This window comes from Homo sapiens, chromosome 15 (assembly GCF_000001405.40).
Source record: "Homo sapiens chromosome 15, GRCh38.p14 Primary Assembly".
NCBI classification, from domain to species: domain Eukaryota; kingdom Metazoa; phylum Chordata; class Mammalia; order Primates; family Hominidae; genus Homo; species Homo sapiens.
In genome coordinates, this window is record NC_000015.10 from 40,328,629 (window position 1) to 40,348,798 (window position 20,170).

General features: G+C 55.7%; 1 protein-coding gene and 1 pseudogene across 1 annotated transcript, besides 8 other annotated features; both read right to left on the reverse strand.

Annotated features, from left to right (window-relative positions):
- CCDC9B (coiled-coil domain containing 9B) lies at nt 2,824–12,311 on the reverse strand. Its single transcript, NM_207380.3, has 11 exons — nt 12,180–12,311; nt 11,277–11,387; nt 10,884–10,991; nt 10,120–10,275; nt 9,907–10,032; nt 9,096–9,265; nt 8,760–8,818; nt 8,132–8,185; nt 7,946–8,036; nt 7,156–7,198; nt 2,824–7,072 (listed from the first exon to the last, which is right to left on the reverse strand). Exons 1-11 carry the CDS (start codon nt 12,189–12,191, stop codon nt 6,530–6,532), a joined length of 1,473 nt encoding a protein of 490 aa, NP_997263.3. The 5' UTR covers nt 12,192–12,311; the 3' UTR covers nt 2,824–6,529.
- RNA5SP392 (RNA, 5S ribosomal pseudogene 392) lies at nt 2,909–3,020 on the reverse strand (annotated as a pseudogene).
- Nucleotides 5,380–5,674: an enhancer, noted in NCBI's record as "tiled region #6286; K562 Activating non-DNase unmatched - State 5:Enh". NCBI's record gives its function as "activates a minimal TATA promoter and a strong SV40 promoter by Sharpr-MPRA in K562 cells {active_cell/tissue: K562}" and the evidence as "EXISTENCE:reporter gene assay evidence [ECO:0000049][PMID:27701403]".
- Nucleotides 7,976–8,494: an enhancer, noted in NCBI's record as "H3K4me1 hESC enhancer chr15:40628805-40629323 (GRCh37/hg19 assembly coordinates)". NCBI's record gives its function as "activates a minimal SCP1, AML or CMV promoter by ChIP-STARR-seq in primed H9 embryonic stem cells {active_cell/tissue: H9 hESC(primed)}" and the evidence as "EXISTENCE:reporter gene assay evidence [ECO:0000049][PMID:30033119]".
- Nucleotides 11,404–12,207: an enhancer, noted in NCBI's record as "H3K4me1 hESC enhancer chr15:40632233-40633036 (GRCh37/hg19 assembly coordinates)". NCBI's record gives its function as "activates a minimal SCP1, AML or CMV promoter by ChIP-STARR-seq in naive H9 embryonic stem cells {active_cell/tissue: H9 hESC(naive)}" and the evidence as "EXISTENCE:reporter gene assay evidence [ECO:0000049][PMID:30033119]".
- Nucleotides 15,152–15,651: an enhancer, noted in NCBI's record as "H3K4me1 hESC enhancer chr15:40635981-40636480 (GRCh37/hg19 assembly coordinates)". NCBI's record gives its function as "activates a minimal SCP1, AML or CMV promoter by ChIP-STARR-seq in primed H9 embryonic stem cells {active_cell/tissue: H9 hESC(primed)}" and the evidence as "EXISTENCE:reporter gene assay evidence [ECO:0000049][PMID:30033119]".
- Nucleotides 15,835–16,432: an enhancer, noted in NCBI's record as "H3K4me1 hESC enhancer chr15:40636664-40637261 (GRCh37/hg19 assembly coordinates)". NCBI's record gives its function as "activates a minimal SCP1, AML or CMV promoter by ChIP-STARR-seq in naive H9 embryonic stem cells {active_cell/tissue: H9 hESC(naive)}" and the evidence as "EXISTENCE:reporter gene assay evidence [ECO:0000049][PMID:30033119]".
- Nucleotides 16,002–16,111: a silencer, noted in NCBI's record as "silent region_6326". NCBI's record gives its function as "represses an Ori minimal core promoter by ATAC-STARR-seq in GM12878 lymphoblastoid cells {active_cell/tissue: GM12878}" and the evidence as "EXISTENCE:reporter gene assay evidence [ECO:0000049][PMID:35858748]".
- Nucleotides 16,132–16,221: a silencer, noted in NCBI's record as "silent region_6327". NCBI's record gives its function as "represses an Ori minimal core promoter by ATAC-STARR-seq in GM12878 lymphoblastoid cells {active_cell/tissue: GM12878}" and the evidence as "EXISTENCE:reporter gene assay evidence [ECO:0000049][PMID:35858748]".
- Nucleotides 16,433–17,029: an enhancer, noted in NCBI's record as "H3K4me1 hESC enhancer chr15:40637262-40637858 (GRCh37/hg19 assembly coordinates)". NCBI's record gives its function as "activates a minimal SCP1, AML or CMV promoter by ChIP-STARR-seq in naive H9 embryonic stem cells {active_cell/tissue: H9 hESC(naive)}" and the evidence as "EXISTENCE:reporter gene assay evidence [ECO:0000049][PMID:30033119]".

Below are 20,170 nucleotides of genomic sequence, written 5' to 3' on the forward strand. Positions count from 1 at the left end.
GGTGTCCCTGTCATAATCTACTTGCATACCCGTATCCACAGCCCATAATCTGGTTCAAGGAGGTGGGTTGCTAAAGAAAACCCCTGCAAATCATAGCTGCACTGATCTCTCTAGCCTCAGTTTTTTTATTTCCAAGTTGAAGGACTCGGCCTTGGCCTTCCTGTTCTTTCCGGGTGCCGCAAGTCCACAGTGGTATTCCATATGGTGCTTAACGGACACACCATAGGATATGTGATCCATTCATTGTCTCCTAGGTCCCAGCCCTGCAGCCTCATGTTAAGCTATAAAAATATCTGCTCTGTCGACAGTTTTTTTGGTTACCTCTGTTTTACTTGCTGACATAGCCTGTGGTTTTCTGCTGCCAGAAAGCCTGTGTTATGCTTTTTGTCCCCTCCAGTAGCTAACTGAAAAAGCAAACAAACTTCTCTTTACCCCTCACCTAGACTCTACCAGGCTTTCCACCCTAAATGCAGAAATACCCAGCATGGGAGCCACCTGGTCAGTGCTCCTCACTGGATCCTGTGCCCCATTCAATTCTATAAACATTTGTTAAGCTACCACTAAAGGACCAGAAAATCACTCTCAAGGAATTTACAGTCATGCCCGCAAGTCTCCCCTTGTCAAACTATCCTGTTTTCTTAACTTCAGTATTCTGTTTTTGCAATAGCTTATCAGTTAAATAGCAATAAGATTTTAGCCAATATCCTTAGGGATATTTTCCACAAACCATTACCTTTAATTCAAGAACTTTAGTTTAGTTTAGGTCTTTATTTGGTGTCTACAGTGTGCTAAGTAAGCCTCAAAACTCCAAAAACCAACTTGTCCAAAAAAAAGCAATTGCATTGATTACCAAGGATTTCCTTTGACATACGTATACCTTTCTCTGCTACCTCAGTGTTCAGAGTCATTAGTTGAGGTCTCCCCACACTTGTGTCCTGGAGGCCCACCTGCTCCCTCAGCTCCTTGCTGGTATCCTGGATGGTGTAGAGTCACAGCAGTCAGGCTTAGAGGTATAGACAGCTCACGGCATCACAAGGCCCTGGGCAGGGAGACTGTGTGTTCTTGGGAGGGACCCCTGAACTGGAAGATGGGAAGCCTGGGGACTCAACAATGGCATTAGTTAAGGCCCTTGACCTCTCTCTTTTCTGCTAACCAAATGGGAATTCCTGAGAGCAAATGGAGGTTATAGATATGAAAGGGCTTTGAGATCTTGGGAGTAAAAGTACAACGTGTACACATGAAGTAATATATTTTCAAGGGAATGTCTGTCCCTTGGGCAATATGATGCACAGAAAGAAATGTGAAGGGGTAGGTGGTAAACATTACACCAGTGTCTAGACTAGCAGCATCAGCGTCACCCGGGAATGTGTTAGAACAATGACAGCTTAGGCCGCATCCCAGACCAACTGAAGAAGAAATTCAGAAAGCGAAGCCCGGCATTCTGTTTTAACCAGCCTTCCAGGTGATGCTGATGCACACTGAAGTCAGAACCACTGGCCCACCCTTTTCCTCTGATGCTGTAACTTAGGGGTAGGGTATTTCTGTTTTGACAGATGGTCATCGAGGTGCCTTTTGACCCTTTCTCTTGGTTAAAGACAGCAGTCCTGCTGGGGGAAGAGGAAATAGTGTCCCTAGTGCTTATAAGAAAAGGGAAAAAGGCTGCATTGTCCATTATTTTTGACAGTTGCCACAGAACTTGCCCTGGAGAGCTTGTTAAAAAGGAGGCAGCCCTGAACGAGTCCCCTCCCTCTCCCGCGAAGGTACTGCTGTGTTTGCCTCACCTCCTGCCCTGAGGCCTGCTGCTTCTTGAGCCAGTCCTTAAAAGGAGCAGTGGGTGCCACATTTGTTCTTTCTGGTGCCAGGTCTGTGCTATTTCACTTCCCCGGCGTCAAGTGGGTGCTTAATGAGCAGCTGTGACGTAAGGCCCAGCAGACTTGAGAGAAAGCAGCTGCAGTCCATGCTTTCTGCTGGCTGCTCTCCTTCCCTCTCCCAGCCTTGAGTTCTCCCACTTTGGTGGGGTTGTGGTCAACCCCTGTCAACCCTTCCTCATGAGCCCTGATAACCCTTGCTCAGAGATGTGTGTGGGGTGTGTGGACATGGATAAGTGACTCAAGATGGAAGTGACATGGTGTCTAGTTCTATTCCCTTGGCCCCTCCCCTTGATTTAGTCCCTAAAATAAGAAAATGTGGCTGTATTAGGATTTTTGACAGTTCCTTCTTGTTTTGGGGGGTGAGTGCGATCTTTTCCTGTTGTTCTCGTCCCTGACAGGGTCGGGGCTGGAGGTGACTGTGGTGCAACCTTCCAAACTTGTGCCTTGTTAGATAAGCTAAGCTCTCCTGCTTCCAAGGATCCCCAGTTCCTGTCCCTTGACCATAGCAAACGCTAGTCATGCTGCTCCTTTGGGTGACAAAACAACTCTGGGACACACAGAGCAAACTCCTCAAGGGGGTTTGTTTCTGGGGAAAATAAGCAGAAAACTGTGATGTGAGTGTGAGATTGCTATTGAGGTAGACAGAAGAGAGGAGGAACCCCTGTGAGCTGCAAGCGCAGCGCAGCGTGCAGGGTGAAGGGGGGTAAGTGTGATGGAGCCAGTAGGGGAGGTCAAAGAACACTCCTTGGTAAAGCAGGGGCACTGCTCGAGGCTGAGACTCCACTGGACCCCCATGGGACTGAAGGAAGCTCACCTGGTGGGCCGGATAATCTTTACAGACGGTTCCTTGTTTCTCTGAAAGTGCATTGAGTGCCCCCACCCCCCGCCCCTCCAGCAAAGATGAGGCTAGAAGAGAAGGTAAGGAAAAGATAGAAAACAAAGTAGACAGAGATCACACCAAATCGCTACTTCATTTATTCAACAAGTATTTACTGAGTGCCTTCTGTGTGCCACGCTACTGTTAAGACAGAGTCCAACTCCAACTGCGGGCAGGTATGTTTTCCATACTCTCCCCATCCAGGTACTAACCAGGCCTGACCCTGCTTAGCTTACGAGATTAGGCACGTTCAGGGTGGTATGGCCGTAGACTATTTTGGATACCCTTATCTTTAATTTTCTCAGCAACCCTTCAAAACAGGTATCACAAGCCTCATTTTGCAGATAAGGAGACTGAGGCTTTTAGAGGCTAAAATTGACCCAGGTCACCCGGCTGACAGATGGCAGGCCTAGGGTTCTGATTCAGTCCATTGGATTCCAAGGCCTGTGCTTGTTCCACCCGGCCACACTGCCTGTCATCAAAACACATGTCTTTCTTGCAGGCTGGTCTATTGCATTTCCGTCCCGCCATCTGTCAAAAATGGGCCTGGGACGGAGAGGCCTCTGCCTATTCTGCCCTCCTTGTTTCGAGACCTTAGGTAAAGCCAGCATCTCCCTACCAGCTCCTCCCTCCTCCTGTGTGCCCTCCTTTTTCCAGGCCCCCAGCCCTGTGCCTGGGCTCCTGGCAGCTGTGTTTCATGAAGACCCTCCACCTTTGAAGAGCAGTCTTTTCTGTTGGTTGGAGAAGAGAAAGACACCCAAAAGGAAGGCTCCCAGCCAGGCCTTTAAACAAAGGAGCCAGGAAGAGGTAGAACCAGCTTCCCATGATGCCAAGCTCTGTGGAGGGGTGTCTTATTGCGCCTCCCTCCCACTCCATGGCTGCTTCCATCCTACAGCAGGAGGGGTGGCAACCATCCGGACTGATAGCCGGGGGTTACCACCATAACTACCACTTCCTTATCTTGAAGAAGAGCTCTCCTTTTTTGAAAAGAGCTCAATGTTACCTGCCTACACTACCATCTTCCTGCAATGAAGAGGTCCTGTGCCAGTCTCTGTTCCCTCCAATGTCTATAACTCCTGTGATATTCCTCCTCCTGACATCCTTCTGGACGTCATCCATGGAGACAAGCCCTACTTCCCCACAGCCCTTCTGCCCAGCCTTCTCTCCTGCTTCAGTCCCATTGTGAGGGCTGAACCCGAGCTCTGCCTGCTTCCTACATCCTCATTCCAGGGTCAGACGAGCCTGGCATATGCCCCTTCGTGGAGGCGCAGCTGTACAGTTGGCAGCACTGGGTTGGGGAGCAGACTGTGAATCTTATAATTCAGATTCTTGATCACAATCATTTTTGGAGACATCTGCCTGATGTCTCCAAAATCTAAGGGCTTTGCCTGAACCTCCTCTACCCCTAGCCCCGTCCTTTGGGAGTCATGGATTCCTAGGCCAGTGTCACACTCCAAAGCCATGTTCTTGTGACTAGAAGGCAAGAGAAAAACTTGAGCTTGGAGTCTTTGCCCTGGCATAGGTGTGTCTCACATACATAGGAATGTTTCCAAGCCTTTCCAAAATTCCTCTGATCAACCCCACACCAAATGCCTCTGCCCCCTTCACTCCATCCCATCCCTGACCAGCTCTCCCACTGCACTACTAGAAGTTGACACCACCCACTCACTGCCTTCCAAAGCATCTTCCCCAAGTCTCCCACCCAACTCTGCAGCCAGGAAGCCCCCACCACCTGACAGGGGTAGCACTCCCCCATCCCCTACATAGCCAGCCACCAACCTTTAGAGTCTAGAGTCTGTCTTCACCCCCAGCCCTTCATATATTCTAGTCCAAACCCTTAACTACTCAAAACCATGGTCCAGGAACCAGCATGGGCTTCACCTGAAGCCTCTTAGAAATACGAATTCTCGGCCAGGTGTGGTGGCTCATGCCTGTAATCCCAGCAGTTTAGGAGGCCAAGGCGAGCAGATTGCTTGAGCCCAGGAGTTGGAGACCAGCCTGGGCAACATGGTGAAACCCTGCCTCTACAAAAAATACAAAAATTAGCCAGGTGTGGTGGCACACCTGTAGTCCCGGCTACTCAAGAGGTTGATGTGAGAGGATCGCCTGAGCCTGGAGGGTTCGAGGCTGCAGTGAGCCATGATTGTGCCACTGCACTCCAGCCTAGGTGATAACAGCAGGACCCTAACTAAAAAAAAAAAAAAAAAAAAAAGACGAACTCTCAGGCCCTCCCCAGACCATTAGAATCTGCATGACTCTTCAGTTAAAGTATGAGAGACACTTCTCAAAACAGTCTGGTCTGCTAAAGAGATGCCCCTCACCTTCCTGAATAGAGGGGTGGGGTGGAGTTGAGAGCCAGTGAGGAAGGCTGAGCTGGGACCCCACAGTTTAGGCTTCACATTGGGCAGTGGAGAAATCCCAGGGTGATCTGGACTCTCCCTAGAGCCCCACAGCCTTCAGCAGAGAGCAGCAGCCATGGCAGGACCAGAAGGAGGGGGCAGAGGGGACCATGCGGTGAGGTCCACACTAGGGCTCAGGAGCAGAAGGCACACATAACAAGAAAGAAGGGCACTTGCTTCTGCCAGGCAGAGGTGGGAGGGTCCCCTGGGGCTCCTACCGCCATCCTGCCCCCAGCCCTGTAGGGCACCTGTGGCCCAGAACAGCTCCCGCCCAGAACAGCCCAGATCTGCCGGATGACTGGCTTTCTTCCCTCCCTCCTGCTGGCAGTCTCCGTCGCCTACCGGCTGGATTACTGGTAGTGGGTGCTCAGGAAATGTTTGTTGAACTGAGAGGAAGCCACAGCTTGTGCGGAGTCCGGATAATTCAGCAGACGTGGGCCTCAGGGGAGGGGCGGGGATGGAGGCTTAGTAGGAAAGACAAGTCCTGATGTCATACTTAGCTGGAAGTTGTTTCTCTGTCTGTGGAGTAGCTGTCTGATTCTTGCCTTGGCCTGGCCCTGGTGCTAGTGCAGGACGGTGGGGAAAGAGGAAGTGGAAAGAGCAGGAAATGACCCTGGGCTGCAGGGCCAGGCCCTTGCCTACATTCAGGGTGCACGTGATGTCTGACCTGGGTGTGGGGGCCTGGGAGTAAGCTCTCCCATCCTGCTGTGGGAAGAGGAGGTTGTCGCTCCCCATCCCAACCCATTTCAGAGAGGAGGACTTTCCAGAGATCCTCCTTTTCACCAAGAAGACGTGAGCTCTACTCTTCTTTGCCCAGGCCAGACCCTGCCAGCTGTGTGGCCTCTCCTCCTCCAGGCCTCAGCCACCACTCAGGAGAGGCAGGAGGCTGGCGCATGGTTACTGGGATTCCCCTGGTTGGGCATCCTGGGAATCTGGGACTGGGGGAATCCAGCCCAGGCAAGAGGTGAAAGCCTGCAGCTGGAGAGGGAGGCCAGGCCCTGGGGGGGTGACGGGGAGCCAGGAGAGCCAGGTGCTGGGTGCCACCAAGCCTTGTTCTCTCATCATAGTGGAGAAGGCTTGTGGCCTGGGCAGCAGTAGGCCCAGGTCAGGGTGCACCAGCCTCAGATGCCAGATACTAGTACAGGAATACACCAGGGGCTGTGCCCGTGCGTGAAAACACACATGTGCACAGAGATGAGCGTGTGAGGTGCAGGGAGGCCACTCCTTGCCCTCACAAGGTCGCCATGCTGGAGAGTTTGCCACACTGCTCAGTGACAATGGCGCAAGCCACCGGCAACCACATGGCCATCACGCGGAGGGCCTTTAACAGAGTGATTCCCTTTTCCTCTCCCCGGGGACTCCCCAGCTCCCAGGAGCTGTGTTCAGCATCTTCCTGCCGGGCCAGGGCGCCCTGTCCTGCGCCTCACACCTGCTGTGCCTCTCGACCTTTGGCTGCCTCCTCTCGTGGGCCGGCTTCTCGGGGCCAGGCCCTGCTGGGCCCCAGACTTGCCAGACCTGTCTTCTCCGGGCTCTGGGAGCCCTGCTCCTCTCTGTGGCTCAGGGCAAGTCTGTACTTCCAGCTCAGCCTGGTGATTGCTCCACCCCAGGGGCTGCTGCTTAGAGCCCTCTGGCCAAGACACAGGGCTCTCCTGGGCCCCAGGCCTCAGACCGAGCACACACCCGCTCTCCCTGGGCCCAGGGATGCCAGCCCCTCCTAGGGAGAGGTCAAGAGGAGCCAAGTCAGGCTCCTGTGGAGAGCAGGGGACTGAGCTGGCTGTGGAAGCCACTGACTCCCCCTTCGGCCCCTCTGGGGATGCCAGGGCTGGGCTGGCTGCAGGGGCGCTCCCCAGTCGGCCCTGCTCCATCCCGCTCTGCTTCTGGGCTTGCTCCTCCTCACTGGGAGTCTCTCTGGTGCTTTGGCTTCCCTGAAACAAGAGAATAGCCCCGGTGGCTGATGAATCCAGGGCTCGCGTCCCCAGCCTGCCCCATCCTATACCCAAGTACCTACCTCCTGACCTTCCAGCTCCTCCTTGTCTTCCTTCATATCCCACCTGTAGAAACACAGCTCATGGCACGCCCCACCCCACTTCACTCCAGAGCCATGTCCCCCTGCCTGAATAGAGGGGTGGGGTGGAGTTGAGAGCCAGTGAGGAAGGCTGAGCTGGGACCCCATGGTTTAGGCCTCACACTGAGCAGTGGAGAAATCCCAGGGGTGACCCAGACTCTCCCTAGAGCCCCATAGCCCTCAGCAGAGAGGAGCAGCCATGGCAGGACCAGAGAGGAGGGGCCTCCACCTCCTCTGGGCCTCCATCTCCTTGCCAAAGAAACTCCTGGCAGAAGCCAAAGCCCAAGGGTCTCAGACTGGGATCAGAGCCAGAATGTGGCTCCAGGATGCTTCCCCCACCAAGCCTGACCTTGTTCCCTAAATCCAACTATTTCCTCTGAATACCACGCACTCTGGGCCCATCCTGGGTCCCCAGCTGCTGTTTATGGCCAAACTTGCAGCACCTTGAGTTCTGTGGGGACTCCAGGCATGTCCCCGCCTGCAATGCCTGGGAAAGGCATACCTCATTTCCCAGGGGAAGGGAGCTGCTGTAATTACCACCAGCCTCCCCGGGCACCAGGCTCTCGCTGCAGCCTCTGCTAATGGCCTCTCCCAGCATCTCATTAACCTGCCAGGCAGCAGTCAGCCAGGAGGCAGGGGCCCCAGGGATGGAGCTGGCACCTGGGCCTGTACTGGTCCAGGAAATTGGGACACCCACATGCCCGTCTTGATTTTGTCCCCTGCCACCTGTTACCTTCGGGCCCTGCCAGTCAGCCTCTCCTTGCCCCGGGCTTTGCTGCCTGTGGCTGGTGCCACCGAGGGTCTGCTGGCTTGCCCGCCCCGACCTGCAAGAGATGGTCGGCCAAGGAGAGAAGAGGCCCATAGCAGCCGGCTCCATCTTTAGCTGACGAGACCTGGCCCCTCCTCCTCCCCAACTCACCTTTTCCATCAGGGAGCAATGGTGGGGGCTGTAGTTTCTGGTGGCTCCTGGGACCTGCGGGGGACAAAAGAAGTGGGGAAAGGTGGGGTGACAAAGGATCCAAAACAGGAACACCAGTTCTTCCAGCCTCAGGAAGCTGTCAGTCCTCGGGGCCAGTCGTGGGTTTTGCCTCCCCAAAAGCGCCCTCGCCTGGGGGTCAGGAGAATAGGGTCCTGTGCTAGCTTTGCCACTCCATGGCTAGGTGTCTGGCCCCAACTCTCAGGCCACAGCTTCTTTATATATAAAACAAGGGGACCAGAACTCCACAGAGCTGTTTCTACAGTAGGTCTGGGGAAGGACCACCAGGACTTTCACCCTTTAGGGACCTCAAAGAGACCCCGGGCCGGCTTCCACTGAGCCTCCTTCTGGGGCCTTCTGCTCAGAACCTGGACAAGAGCTGTGGGCTCAGAGGGGAGGATGGGAGGTCTTGGTGCCCTCCTCTGATAGTGAGGGAGAGGAAGGAAGATGTTCTCCAACGCTTCCTTTCAGCTCTGAAAATAAGAGACTAAGAGACAGAGAAAAGAGAGGACAAGGGGGTGAAAGATGAACAAAGCCAAGGAGGGGAGGGATGAGGTAGGTGTGGGCTCACCCCTTCTGCTGCCTGCCCTGGCCGGGCCTTCTCCCCTCAGCTGGCTGCAGTCCTGTAGCCTGTGTAGACAGAGGGAGTCAGGTTGCTGGTGCACAGAAGCTGCCGCGGGCCCCACCCTGACACCCCCCTCCCCGAAGCCCAGGCCCAGAATTGAAGGCAGCAGGGAGATGGTGGGCCCAAGAAAGATGGGAGACCCAGAGCCTTGAACCCTGGGCTCGACCAGAATGCCCAGCAAGGTCCTCTCAACCCCGAGGAGGGTCCCTGCAGCCCTCCCAGCAGTGCCCGAAGCCAGCTCCATCCCGCACCACAGGCAACCTGCCCAACCCAGCCACCCACGTGGACTTGGCCTTGTCCAGGTCCCACGGGCGGCGCCAGTCACCCTGTGCGTCTCTGTGCCGGGCGAGGCGGGCTAGGTCGATCTGCTCCCGCTCCTGCTTCCACTGGGCATAGTCCCAGCCCGCCTCCGGGGGCTCCCCCACCGGCCGGCTCCAGGGCTCCCAAGAACCCTGTAGGGAGAAGACACTCAGAGTGAGGGGGAGAAGCAGGAAGAGGCTTGGGGTGGGGTTTGGAGACTCCAGGCGCTTCCTCTCTCAAGGTTTCCACATCTCCAGCTAAAAATTAGGCCTGTTCCAGCTCTCCCGTGGAAATGGTTTCCATCCACTTGTTAGCTGTGTGTTTTACATAAGTAATTTAACCTCTCTGTGTCTCATTTCCTCGTGTAAAATGGGGAGGATCTCCGTAGCACCAACCCACAGGGGTGTTGCAGGGGTATGCAGACGGGCCGGAGTGGGAGGGGCCCTGGAAGCTGTGAGCAAGGGCAAGGACTAGGGGCTGCTGCCACCTAGAGGTCACACCTGGCACTTGGCCAGTCAACTCCACCCTCCTGCCCCCTCCCCAACTCCCATGCCACCATCAGCAGGGCTAAATAGGGGAGGGGGCTGGATCACATCTTTGGCTTAAACTGTCTCCCACTTCAAGGCCCACCCAAAGTAGAGACTGGCCAGAGAAAGGGAGGAGGAGCAGGAACTCCTGCATGTGCTCCCTTGGCCACGTCCCCGCAAATGAGGGACATATCTGACTCAGCTTCTCTGCCTCCCCCAAGTGAGGACCTTCAGATCCATGTCCCCATCCCCTCTTGAAGACACACCTTCCGTGCAGAATCTGAGCTGATGGCCACCTGCGTGGGGGGGCTTCGGGTCACACGCCCTCCAGGTGACCCCTCTATGCCTTGGTTCCTTGCTCTGGTAGGCTTTTCACTTACAATCCGTTTGCCCTGGGGAGGATGAAGATGGGCAGTGCAGCAGAGCCAGGGAGGAAGAGGCTGCCTGCCGATGCCTGCACTCCCCACCACCCTGCTCACCTCTGCTTTGTTCTCCATGGTCACAGCCAGCTCCACCAGCTCCCCTAAGCAGAAAGTACCCCCGTGGTCCTCAGCATCCTCATCCTCAAGCATCTCGTTGGTCACTCTGGGTCCACAGGTACCCCTTGCCCAGTTCCTGCTAACCACCCGCTTTTCCTGCAGAACAAAGACCCTCAGGCCACATGGGCAGTGCTGGGCAGGACCTGGGTGCTGGGTCCTCTCGGTGGTTCCCCAGGCCTGGGTTCCAACCCCAGCCCTCCCTGCATTCCCCACAGAAGAGCTGACTCCCACAGGGTGTTCACATGCCAATGGCATGAGGTTATCCAGGGCCCAGGGCCACCCAGCGGCCCAAGATGCCACAGTGGCCCGTCATCTCTGAGCTGGGAAACCCAGAGCACTCAAACAATGGGTCTCTGTCCCTCAGACACTGCTCCTGGCATTCAGCCCCAACTTCTCTGTCCCCCACTTCCTGCAGGGTTTTAGCCCCTGGGGCTTGAGGTTTAGGAGTGGCCTGTGCTTTGTGGCATAGGCGCAGGGCTGTGGACTGGAAAAGGGTATGAAGATGCATCTACTGGGGGTAGGGGGGCTTTCAGCTGTGGCTCTTTGGTGGGGACAGCAGTGGTCCGACTGCAGGAGGTTGGGAGCTGGCAGGTGCACCCCAGAATAGTTAGTAGGAGAGGGGAACAGAGGCAGCTGTCTTTCCCCGACATGGTCTGGGCCTCCACCTCCTTGCTACGAGCCCTGTCTCCCAGGGTGAGGCTTACACCGGGAACCTGGCTGATGGTAACGGTGAGGCCATCAGGCTGGAGGAGTGCTGGTGTGGTCACAGCCATCCCCCCCTGCTCTGCCTGCCGACGGTCCTCCTGGATCTCCTGTGGGAGGGCTGGGGGTCAGCACACGCCATGGCCCCCCAGGTGCACAGAGACATAGATGCTGATAGGCCTACACAGAGAGACACCAGTGGGACACCAGGGGGCAGAGGCGCCACATCACACATCCCCAGGACCCTCACCAAGCCTCTAAGAGGGACCATGCCCACCCTACCCCTGGCCCCAGCCCCAGAGGCGCATTGCTGAGCCTGCAGGGAGACCACCACGTGTGGGGCACAGGGAGCGGCAGCCAAGTGGTTTCTCCTGGCCCTGTGGCAGCCCACTCACCTGGTACCTGCGGAGCAAGGCCTGGTTCTTCTTGCGCAGGGCAACTATCCTCCGATCCAGCTCTGCGTCCTTCTCCTGCCTGCTCATGGGGGACTCGGCTCTGGGAGTTCCCTGCAGAGGCAGGGAACCCAAGCTCCTGACTTCCGGGTCCCCCTCTCACCAGTCCCCAGCTTTCACATTTTCACCACCCAAGGAAGAGATCCCAGACCCACAGCTAAGGTCACCCAGGAAGGAAGGGGATTGCTTAGGGAGATGGCCCAAATAAGGCCCCAAGCCCCCATTCCAGCTAGGCCCGTCTGCCTGTCCCTGCCTCCTCAGGGGGCTCAGGTCAGGGCCTCATACCCCAAGCCACAGCTCCCAGCAGTGGGGTGCCCCTCCCCCAGCTCTCCAGGGAGCTTCACTGCCGAGCAGAGCCTGGAATGGGAGTTATAAATGGCTCTGGCAGCGGAACCTGCCGTGACTGGGAAGCTGCCAGGGGATTCGGGAGGTCGAGGGGGGAGCTGTTTGGCTCCCAGATCCACAACCAGAGAAAAAGGAGAGGCCCTGGCTCCGTCCTGGGCTCTCAGGCCCTGGACCCCGCACCTAGGCCTGTGCCCAGCCTGGAGGAAAGAGCCGCTCCCAGGGGCCCAGCCTCTCCAGGCCGAAAGCTGCTGGTAGTCGGGGCGGAGAGAGCCAGCTCCCCTGGCGGCCCCAGCCCAGGAGTCACCCTGGGCAAGCCATGTCTCTGCATCAAGATTCCAGGTTCCTCTCTGTCTGGATGCAGGTTCTCTGTTGTGACCCTAGTCACAGCCTTCTTCCTCCCAGCCCCAGCTGTCCCCAGCTGCCCCCAGAGGGTGGCTGCCTGGTATCCCAGCCCCCTCCCAGTCCCAAGAAGCCCCCTGCCAAAGGCAGACTGCCACTCACAGCCGAGTGCATGGCAACGGCGGGCACCGAGAGAATTCCAGAGCAGCCCCTGGGGAGCCAGAGTGGGAGGAAAGCTGGAGCCACCGGAGCCGGGCCTCTGCCGGCCTCTCCCTGCCGGCTTCGCTGCTCAGCACACGAGATCATGTTGTGATTACAAAAGACTCCTCTGGGCTCCCAGCCAGGAACGTCGGGCCGCCACCCCCACCCTTCCACTCTCAGAGGGCGAGGACCAGGGCACTGGCAGCTGGCTGGTCCTGCCTAGCACCTCTCCCTGCCCCACCCCAGCGTCCCCAGACAGACTGGTAGGGACTTCTCCCTGGTGGGTCAAGCCTACACAGGAGGCCTGGCTGCCTAGGCCCCAGCAGGACCCCAGCCTGGGCCTGCCTGCAGACAAGATGGGCAGCCAGCGTAGGCCTCTGTGCCTCCCATGAGTAGAAAAAGGCCTACAGCACACAGATGCGCCTGCCCTCTCCTGCTCCTTCTCCTCATCAGCCTTGGTTTAAGTAATTCAAAGGGATCAAGAAGCTCACCTCCCCTAGACTACCAAGTACTACCACATCCCTAAAATGACAACAATAGTCATTCATTCTTTTAGGTTGGACATTGTCTTCTCTGTGCAGTCATGCACCATATAATGACGTTTCACTCAACAATGGACCACATATATGATGGTGGTCCCATAAGATTATAATGGAGCTACAAATTCCTATGGCTTAGTGACATTGTAGCCATTATAACATGGTAGCACAGGGCACTACTTATGTGCTTATGGTGACGCTTGTGTAAACAGACCTACGGCATGACAGCCGCACAAAAGTATGGCACATACAAGTGTGCACAGTACAGAATACCTGATAATGATAATTAACAATTATGTTACTGGCTTATGTATTTACTATACTATACTTTTTATCATTATTTTAGAGTGTATTTCTTCTACTTACAACAACAACAAAAAAAAGTGAACTGTAAAACAGCCTCGGGCAGGTCCTTCAGGAGGAAATCCAGAAGGCATTGTTAGCATAGGAGATGACAGCTGCAGGCCTGTTAATGCCCCTGAAGACCTTCCAGTGGGTCAATATGTGGAATGGAAGACAGTGATGTTGATGATTCTGACTCTGTGTAGGCCTAGGCTAATGTGTGTGTGTTAGATTTTGAGAAAAAAGTTTAAAAAGTTAAAAAAAAGAAAAAGTTTCAAAATAGCAAAAAAACTTATAGAATAAGGATATAAAGAGAAAATATTTTTGTACAGCTGTACAATGTGTTTTGTTTGTGTTTTAAGCTAAGGGTTATTACCAAGAGAGTCAAAAAGTTTTTTTAAATTAAAAAGTTTATAAAGTAAAAAGGTTACAGTAAGCTAAGGTTAATTTATTACTGAAGAAACAAAAATATATATTTTTTAATTTTTCATTTTTTGAGACAGTCTCACTCTGTCACCCAAGCCAGAGGTCAGTGACATGATCATGGCTCACTGCAGCCTCAACCTCCTGGGCTCAAGGGATCCCCCTGCCTCAGCCTCCTGAGTAGCTTGGACAACAGGCGCATGCCACCATGTCCAGGTAGTTTTAAAATTTTTTGTAGAGAGAACGTCTTGCTATGTTGCACAGGCTGGTCTTGAACACCTAGGCTCAAGTGATCCTCCTGCCTTGGCCTCCCAAAGTACTAGGATGACAGGCATGAGCCACCATGCCTGACCAAAAAATCATTCGTATAAATTTAGTCTAACGTAAGTGTACAGTGTTTATAAAATCTATAGTAGCAGACGGTAATGTCCTAGGCCTTCAGATTCACTCATCACTCACTCAGTGACTCACCAGAGCAACCTCCAGTCCTGCAGGCTTCATTCATGGTAAGTGCCCTATACAGGTGTGCCATTTTAAATCTTGTACACCATATTTTTACTATATCTTTTCTAAGTTTAGATATGTAAACACTTAGCACTGTGTTACAGCTGCCTACAGTATGCAGTACAGTAACCTGCTGTACAGGTTTGTAGCCTAGGAGCAATAGCTATACCATATAGCCTGGGTGTGTAGTAGGCTGTACCATCTAGGTTTGTGTAAGTGCTCTCTGTGGTGTTCACACAATGACAAAACCACCTAACAACGTATTTCTCAGAACATAGCCCTGTCATTAGCAGACACATGACTATGTTTTAAAGCACAGCCGCTTCCAAGAGGCTCTGTTGTTTGGGTCTCTAGCCCTTTGGTATGGTGAGCCAGGCATTCCTCCAGGGCCCTTGCCATGGCAGTTCAGAGCTGGTCAACAGCCTTCCTCCCTCGGGCCCTAAGTTTGGGCCCTTCCTGGCCTTGCTCTCCAAGACTGGCTTTTTCAGCCTCTCTGAACCTGGCAAAGGAATCAGCCCTTCTCAGGAAAGCTCCTCCCCCATATCTTCCTCATACAGCTGAGACTGGTCTCCCTGCCCAGGCTCCTAGAGCCTCTGGGACTCAAGGCTTGGGGGTGCTGAGAGGAGGGTGGTCTTTCTGGACTAGGAATTCGTGGAGTCTGTTTCCTCAGCTACAAGGCCCTGAGCTCCAGGCCCTCAGGTGAGAATCAGAAGCCCCTGCATTCCCCACATCCCTGATTGACCAGGCCAGTTTCCCAAATGCCACAACTCGTCCCCTCTGTCTCCAGAGCAGAAACCCCCGCTGCCTTCTTTCTCCTCCCAGACCCACCCAGGCAGCCAGAGGTCCAACCTCCACCCCTCCAGAACTGCCCTTTCCTCCCCACTCCCTCCCCCAGCTCCGCCAGGCTTAGCCCTCTTCCTGTCCAGGCCTTTGCACAGCACCCCTGGCCCCACACCCCATCTCCACCACCCCAGAGTTCCCATCTTGCTTGCAAATGCCACTGCGCTCTCCCTTCCTTTCCTGCCGGATGTCCCCACTGAGTCAGACTCGTCAAACTCTCCCAGCAACCATGACGCACCCAGGCTTTGTGCCCTGGGCCTCTCTCACACACATACACGCACACACTCTCTCTCCTTCTCCCAGACGCTCTGCATCCTGCCCCATACAGTGGACTGAGTTCCACGCCAGCCTCAGGAGGCTTCAGAAGCCTCCAGAAGCCTCAAACTTCCCTTCGCCTGCCCCGCACTGTGTTGGAGCTGGGAGGCCCGCAGAGCACTTGCTGGGGAGGGAGACCTAATGCTCTCCAGCCTCTTCAGAACTCAGGCCCGGACCAGGTCTGGGGAGGAGATGTGTAGATGGGGTAAGGAAGCTACAGGGATAAGGCAAGGCTGTGTACCCCCTCCCCCATTCCCAGACAAGGTGGGGGCAAGAGAGTAGCAGGGGGGTAAAGGCATGGGCACAGGCTTATCGCCTGTGGGATGGCCACACAGCTCTTCTGGAAGGGCCTGCAGGAACACACTCCCCTCACCTAGGGCAAAGGCCTTCTGGTCTGTCAGGCTAGAGGGGTATGTGCCCAAGACAAACCAACCATCATACGGGGGGTACCAGCAGCTGCTGACTGTGTGTTTCCCAGTGTTATTCACACATGACGTCACACCTCTGAGCAGCCCCCACAGTCTCCCACTTTCCCCAGAGTCTGTGGTTGGCCTGTCTGCTCTCCATTGGACAGAGGCTCTCTGAGGGCAGGAATGACCTGCCAAGTGCCTCTGGATCCCCAGTGTCTGGCACGGTGCCCCTGCATACTAAAGAACCTCCATCAGCACTTCCAGAATGAAGACATGCGTGAATTGTGCTTGCCATCCTGTGCATAGCTGTGGGTATCCTATGCATAGGCTGGGACTGCCTTTCTGTCCACCTAGAATGTACGCAGCCCTGAGGGAGCCGGTGGGTGGTAAAGGTGCCCTAAGAGTAGCCCCACCCCACCCCGGGGAGAAGCCCACAGGAAGCAGGGGAGATGGAGAAGGACCAGCTTGCCATCCCCATGAGACTGGGTGTCTGTTTCTCTGTGTCGCCACTAAGGGGCAGCAGAGCGACAACAGCCTGTTTTTGGGTGCGGGAGGCGGTTCCCTTTCTCTGTTGTTCCACAGGGCCTCCCCCAAGTCCCTGTAACCTCCACCTCCCAACTCCATCAGACTAGAGAAGCCATCTAGTTGTAGAAGACTTATTTTATTGATGAGGAAGCTGAAGCCCAAAGAGGTGGCGCCCTCTGCCCAGGTGGCACAGCCTGTCTGTGATGCCGCTGAGGCCACACACCCGGGAGCTGCCTCCTGCCCAGGGCGCCTTCACCGGCTGCCCCGCCAATGCCGTTCTGCTGATCCTTCCCTCTGTGCCCTCCCTCTCTCCACCCGGGGTTGGGCCGGGTGTCCCAGCACCTCGGGCACAGGCTCTTCCCTGTGGTCCCCCACCCTCCCAGGCCACCCGCTGGCTCAGGGGGTACCCCCTGAGGTCCAGAAGGGAACGTATCTGGACCCTATTCGTGGTCCTCAGAGCACAGACCTGGGACCAGCCCTGAGAACGAGATGGCTGCAAGTTGGGATTCTCACTGAGGAGAAAGAGGGAAGGGGCTGCAGGGGAGGAAAGACCCTCCGAACCACACGTGGAGCCACCGCAACCCTGGGATCACAGCCCTGGCAGAGGCTCCACCCACGAGGGCCGCACATCTCAGACCTCATTCTGTTTCCGGAATGCTGCCCCTGAAGCTGGATCAATGAAACATAAGCAAGCCGGCCCCTGCCCTTCCCCTCGGCTTTGTCAGAAGATGGGATGGGGGGTGGGTGGATTCCAAATGAACTTCACCCCTTACTGGCTGTGTCCCTTCTCTCTCTGGCCCTCATCTATAAAATGAGGTGTACCTGCTTCACAGAATCATCTGGAGAGGAAATAAAATAACATGGGTAACCATCCATATCTGGAACAAAGTGTGCCCAGAGTAAGGCTCAAAACAGTTTTCTTGCCTCGGGTAACTTCCTGATGGCCACCTTCTGGATGCTACCTCCCCAGCATCCTTTGAGAGGCCCAAAGCCTGCCTCCTACCAGCCTGCTGGGGCCTGAACACATTAAGACTTCTGGGTTATGGAGACCATTTGTGATCTGGTGGGGCAGATCCTGAGGCATTCCCTCAGCCACCTCCCTTCAGGTCTCCTGCCCAGCACACCCTCTCCAGGGAGTCCTCCCTGTCCCTCTTTGTCCCCTCTGAAGTCCCAGGCCCTGGTTGCCATCCCTCTCCAGCCAGGACTCGTGCTTCTGGAAGCAGTCCCTGCACTTTACCTGCCTCTGGATACCCCCAGGCCCAGTTCCAGGATCACACCCCAGTGCTCGGGAACCCTTCTTATTGGTGAAGGGCCGAGCCCTTAGAGGTCACTGGTGCCACTAGCCAGCCCTGGGTGTGTGGGTGAGTATTGAGGAAAAGAGTGAGCCAGGCTGGATTGCATGAGAGCTCAGCTATTAGGCAGGGAGACCCTCCAGATGGAAAGGGGCCAGAGAGTGGCCTAAAGCACAGCATTCCCTTCCTGCAAACCCATCCTCCCTCCCTGCCCCACCATGGCGATTCTTGTCTCAAGAAAACTCCTGTCCTGGCTCCCAGGACTTGAGGTGTGGTCAGGCCAGGCCTGGTCTTGGGTGGGAAGGACTCAAGACTGCATGAGGTGGGGCTGGAGGGACCAGCCCTAGGCAGGCTCCAGCTGCCAGGGACAAAGTCTGGGCCACGCCTTTCAAAAGAACACATAAGCCAGAGCAAGGTGGAGCCCAGGCTGAAGTCCTTTGAGGCATTGGAAGCAGAAGGAAAGCTGTACTAAGGACATACCCCTCCATTCTGCTCTCCAGGACATACCCAGGGCTGGGGCATCCTGAACCTTCCAGCGTCAGACCCAGTAATAGGAGGTGAACGCTGGCATGGACCTGAGCCCCTGAGGTCTCCCTTGTTTGTTGATGTTCTGTTCCCACGCACCAACAATGGATCTCTTCATGGTGCAAAGGGGACTCATTGTGTTTTCCCAGAAGCCCCACCTTGACCCCCAGCCCACAGCTGTCCACGAGCAGAGGCTGAATGCTGCCCTGTTGGGACTTGCCCACACTATGCCATGAACAGAGCACCTACCCTGGCCAAGGTGATGCAGGAACCACCAGGGAAAGACCTCAGAGGCACCTGCCAACACTAGGCTGCGTTGGCCTGAGGCCCAGCCAGCACAGGGCTCAGGCCCACCAGGGAGTTTTCCAGAAGGGGATGAGCTTCAAGGGGATGAGCAAGATTCAGGCAGGGGGATGGGAGGAGAGGGCATTCCATGAATGCACAGGAGATAGCAGGATCGCAGGAGGCAGGGGAGTGGCGGTGGCTTTTACCTGCAAGAGGACATTAGGTTAGGAAGGTACAGACCAGACTGGGGAGGCACTGGAAGGTAGACTGAGGAGGTGGAGTCATGCAGAGGGGCTGAAAGTTTTACAGCAGCTGCTGATGAGGCCACCCCACGGTTTAGGAAGCTGAAGCCAGAGTGGTCTTAGATGTGTCGCATAGGGCAGGGGTAGGGTCGGGGGCAGTTAGGAGGCTGTGTCCAGATACCGAAGGGAGGCATCTGGGCCAGGCAGGGCATGGGGCGTCCAGGGAAAAGGTGAGCGGGAGAGCCTTCAGGAGGACTCAGAGCCTTGGCATGGCTGGTGCAACACAGTGGAGAGGGAGCACTAAGCGCTCAGGCCTGGGGGCCCTCACAGAGTCAGGCATGGAATGGCCTGGCCTGATGTCTCCGGGAAGGGTGCCCACTGGGCAGCAGCGGCTGGAAGGCTGGGTGGGACAGTCTCTACCCCTTCTCTAGGCTTGTCACATGGGTCTGAGGTGGCATCTCTGGGGCAGGGAAAAGGTCCAGTGTGGCTTTGAGGCATGGAGAGAAGGGTGACTAGGAGGCTGAGGGAAGGATGAGAGCCCAGGCCACTGAGGAGAGGGCATGGGCCTCTGGAGTGGCCTTAGGTGGTGTGGCTCAGGGGCTTTCACCCAGCCTAGAGGTGGCTAGGCAGGAAAGGGCAACCAGGGTGAGAAAGCACACTGAAATGCCGGGCCTGGACACCTGCGGGTGGGCAGCAGGGTGACTAATTGTCCCCATTTGCCTGGAACTGTCTCGGTTTTAGCACTGAAAGTCCTGAGTCTGGAACACACCTCAGTCCTAGGCACACCTGGATGCTCGGCACCCTGGGGGAAGAGGGGGCTGCGGGAGGCTGGGGCAGGGAGGGGGCCTCTTGGGGGCCTGTCAGTGGAATGCTCTGAGGGACCAGAGGCCAAAGGTGCGAGGGAAGTGTCCCGCAGGCAGGTCCCCAGGGCTGGGCAAGGGAGCCTCTGATGAGGCATAGAGGTCACCACTGATATTCATACTGATAACAGTAACACCCTGCACTCCAAGGTCTAACACTGCCAGAGCCTCACACAGATGATGCCATTGGATCTCTTTAAGCTCTGCAACCTGTGAATTAGCCAGGGCAGGTGCTATTAGCTTCTTTTTGGAGATGAAGGTCAGAGACCTGCCCAGGAGTCTCTAGGGTGGGGCCCTCCCAACTGCCTCTGAATCACTGTGGCTGGTGGCCCATCCCTGCAGCACTCTCTCCAGCGCGTACCTTTGGCCTCATACTGTGGAAAACCTGTCTGCCCAAGTGGCGCCTGGCTGTCCCACCTCCCTCCCCACCCTGCAGGGCAGCCCGGGAGGCAGGGGGGCCTTCCTGGTTCTGCTGACAGGCATTGGGGGTTCCAGAGAGGGCCTTCACTTTGTGTCCTCAACCTCCCAGGGCCCCCTCATGGCCTCCACTACCCCAGGAGATGCCCTTCAGCCTCCCTCCCTGATCTCCCGTCTCCTCTTCCAGATCCCAGCCCCTCACCCCAGAAGTATCTCCTCCTGCTCCACAGAGCTCCCTTCTCCATTCTGTGGCTTTCTAGCAGGGAAGTGCCGCCACACTCAGCCAGGCAATATGCCCAAGCACGTGGTGAGCAGTTATCATCTGTAAGGCACAGTGCCTGCTGAGGGGTGGTGGGGCCACACACATGGAGCAGGCCCTGCTTGCCCTCAAAATCTTAAGACTGGGTAGGAGAAGAGTCCATGAACACATACA

Coding starts and splice junctions, on each gene's coding strand:
- CCDC9B (NM_207380.3), bottom strand. Junction 10,276..10,883: donor CCATCAGCCAGGTTCCCGGT/GTAAGCCTCACC, acceptor TTTGTTCTGCAG/GAAAAGCGGGTGGTTAGCAG. Junction 7,199..7,945: donor CTGACTGGCAGGGCCCGAAG/GTAACAGGTGGC, acceptor GTGTTTCTACAG/GTGGGATATGAAGGAAGACA.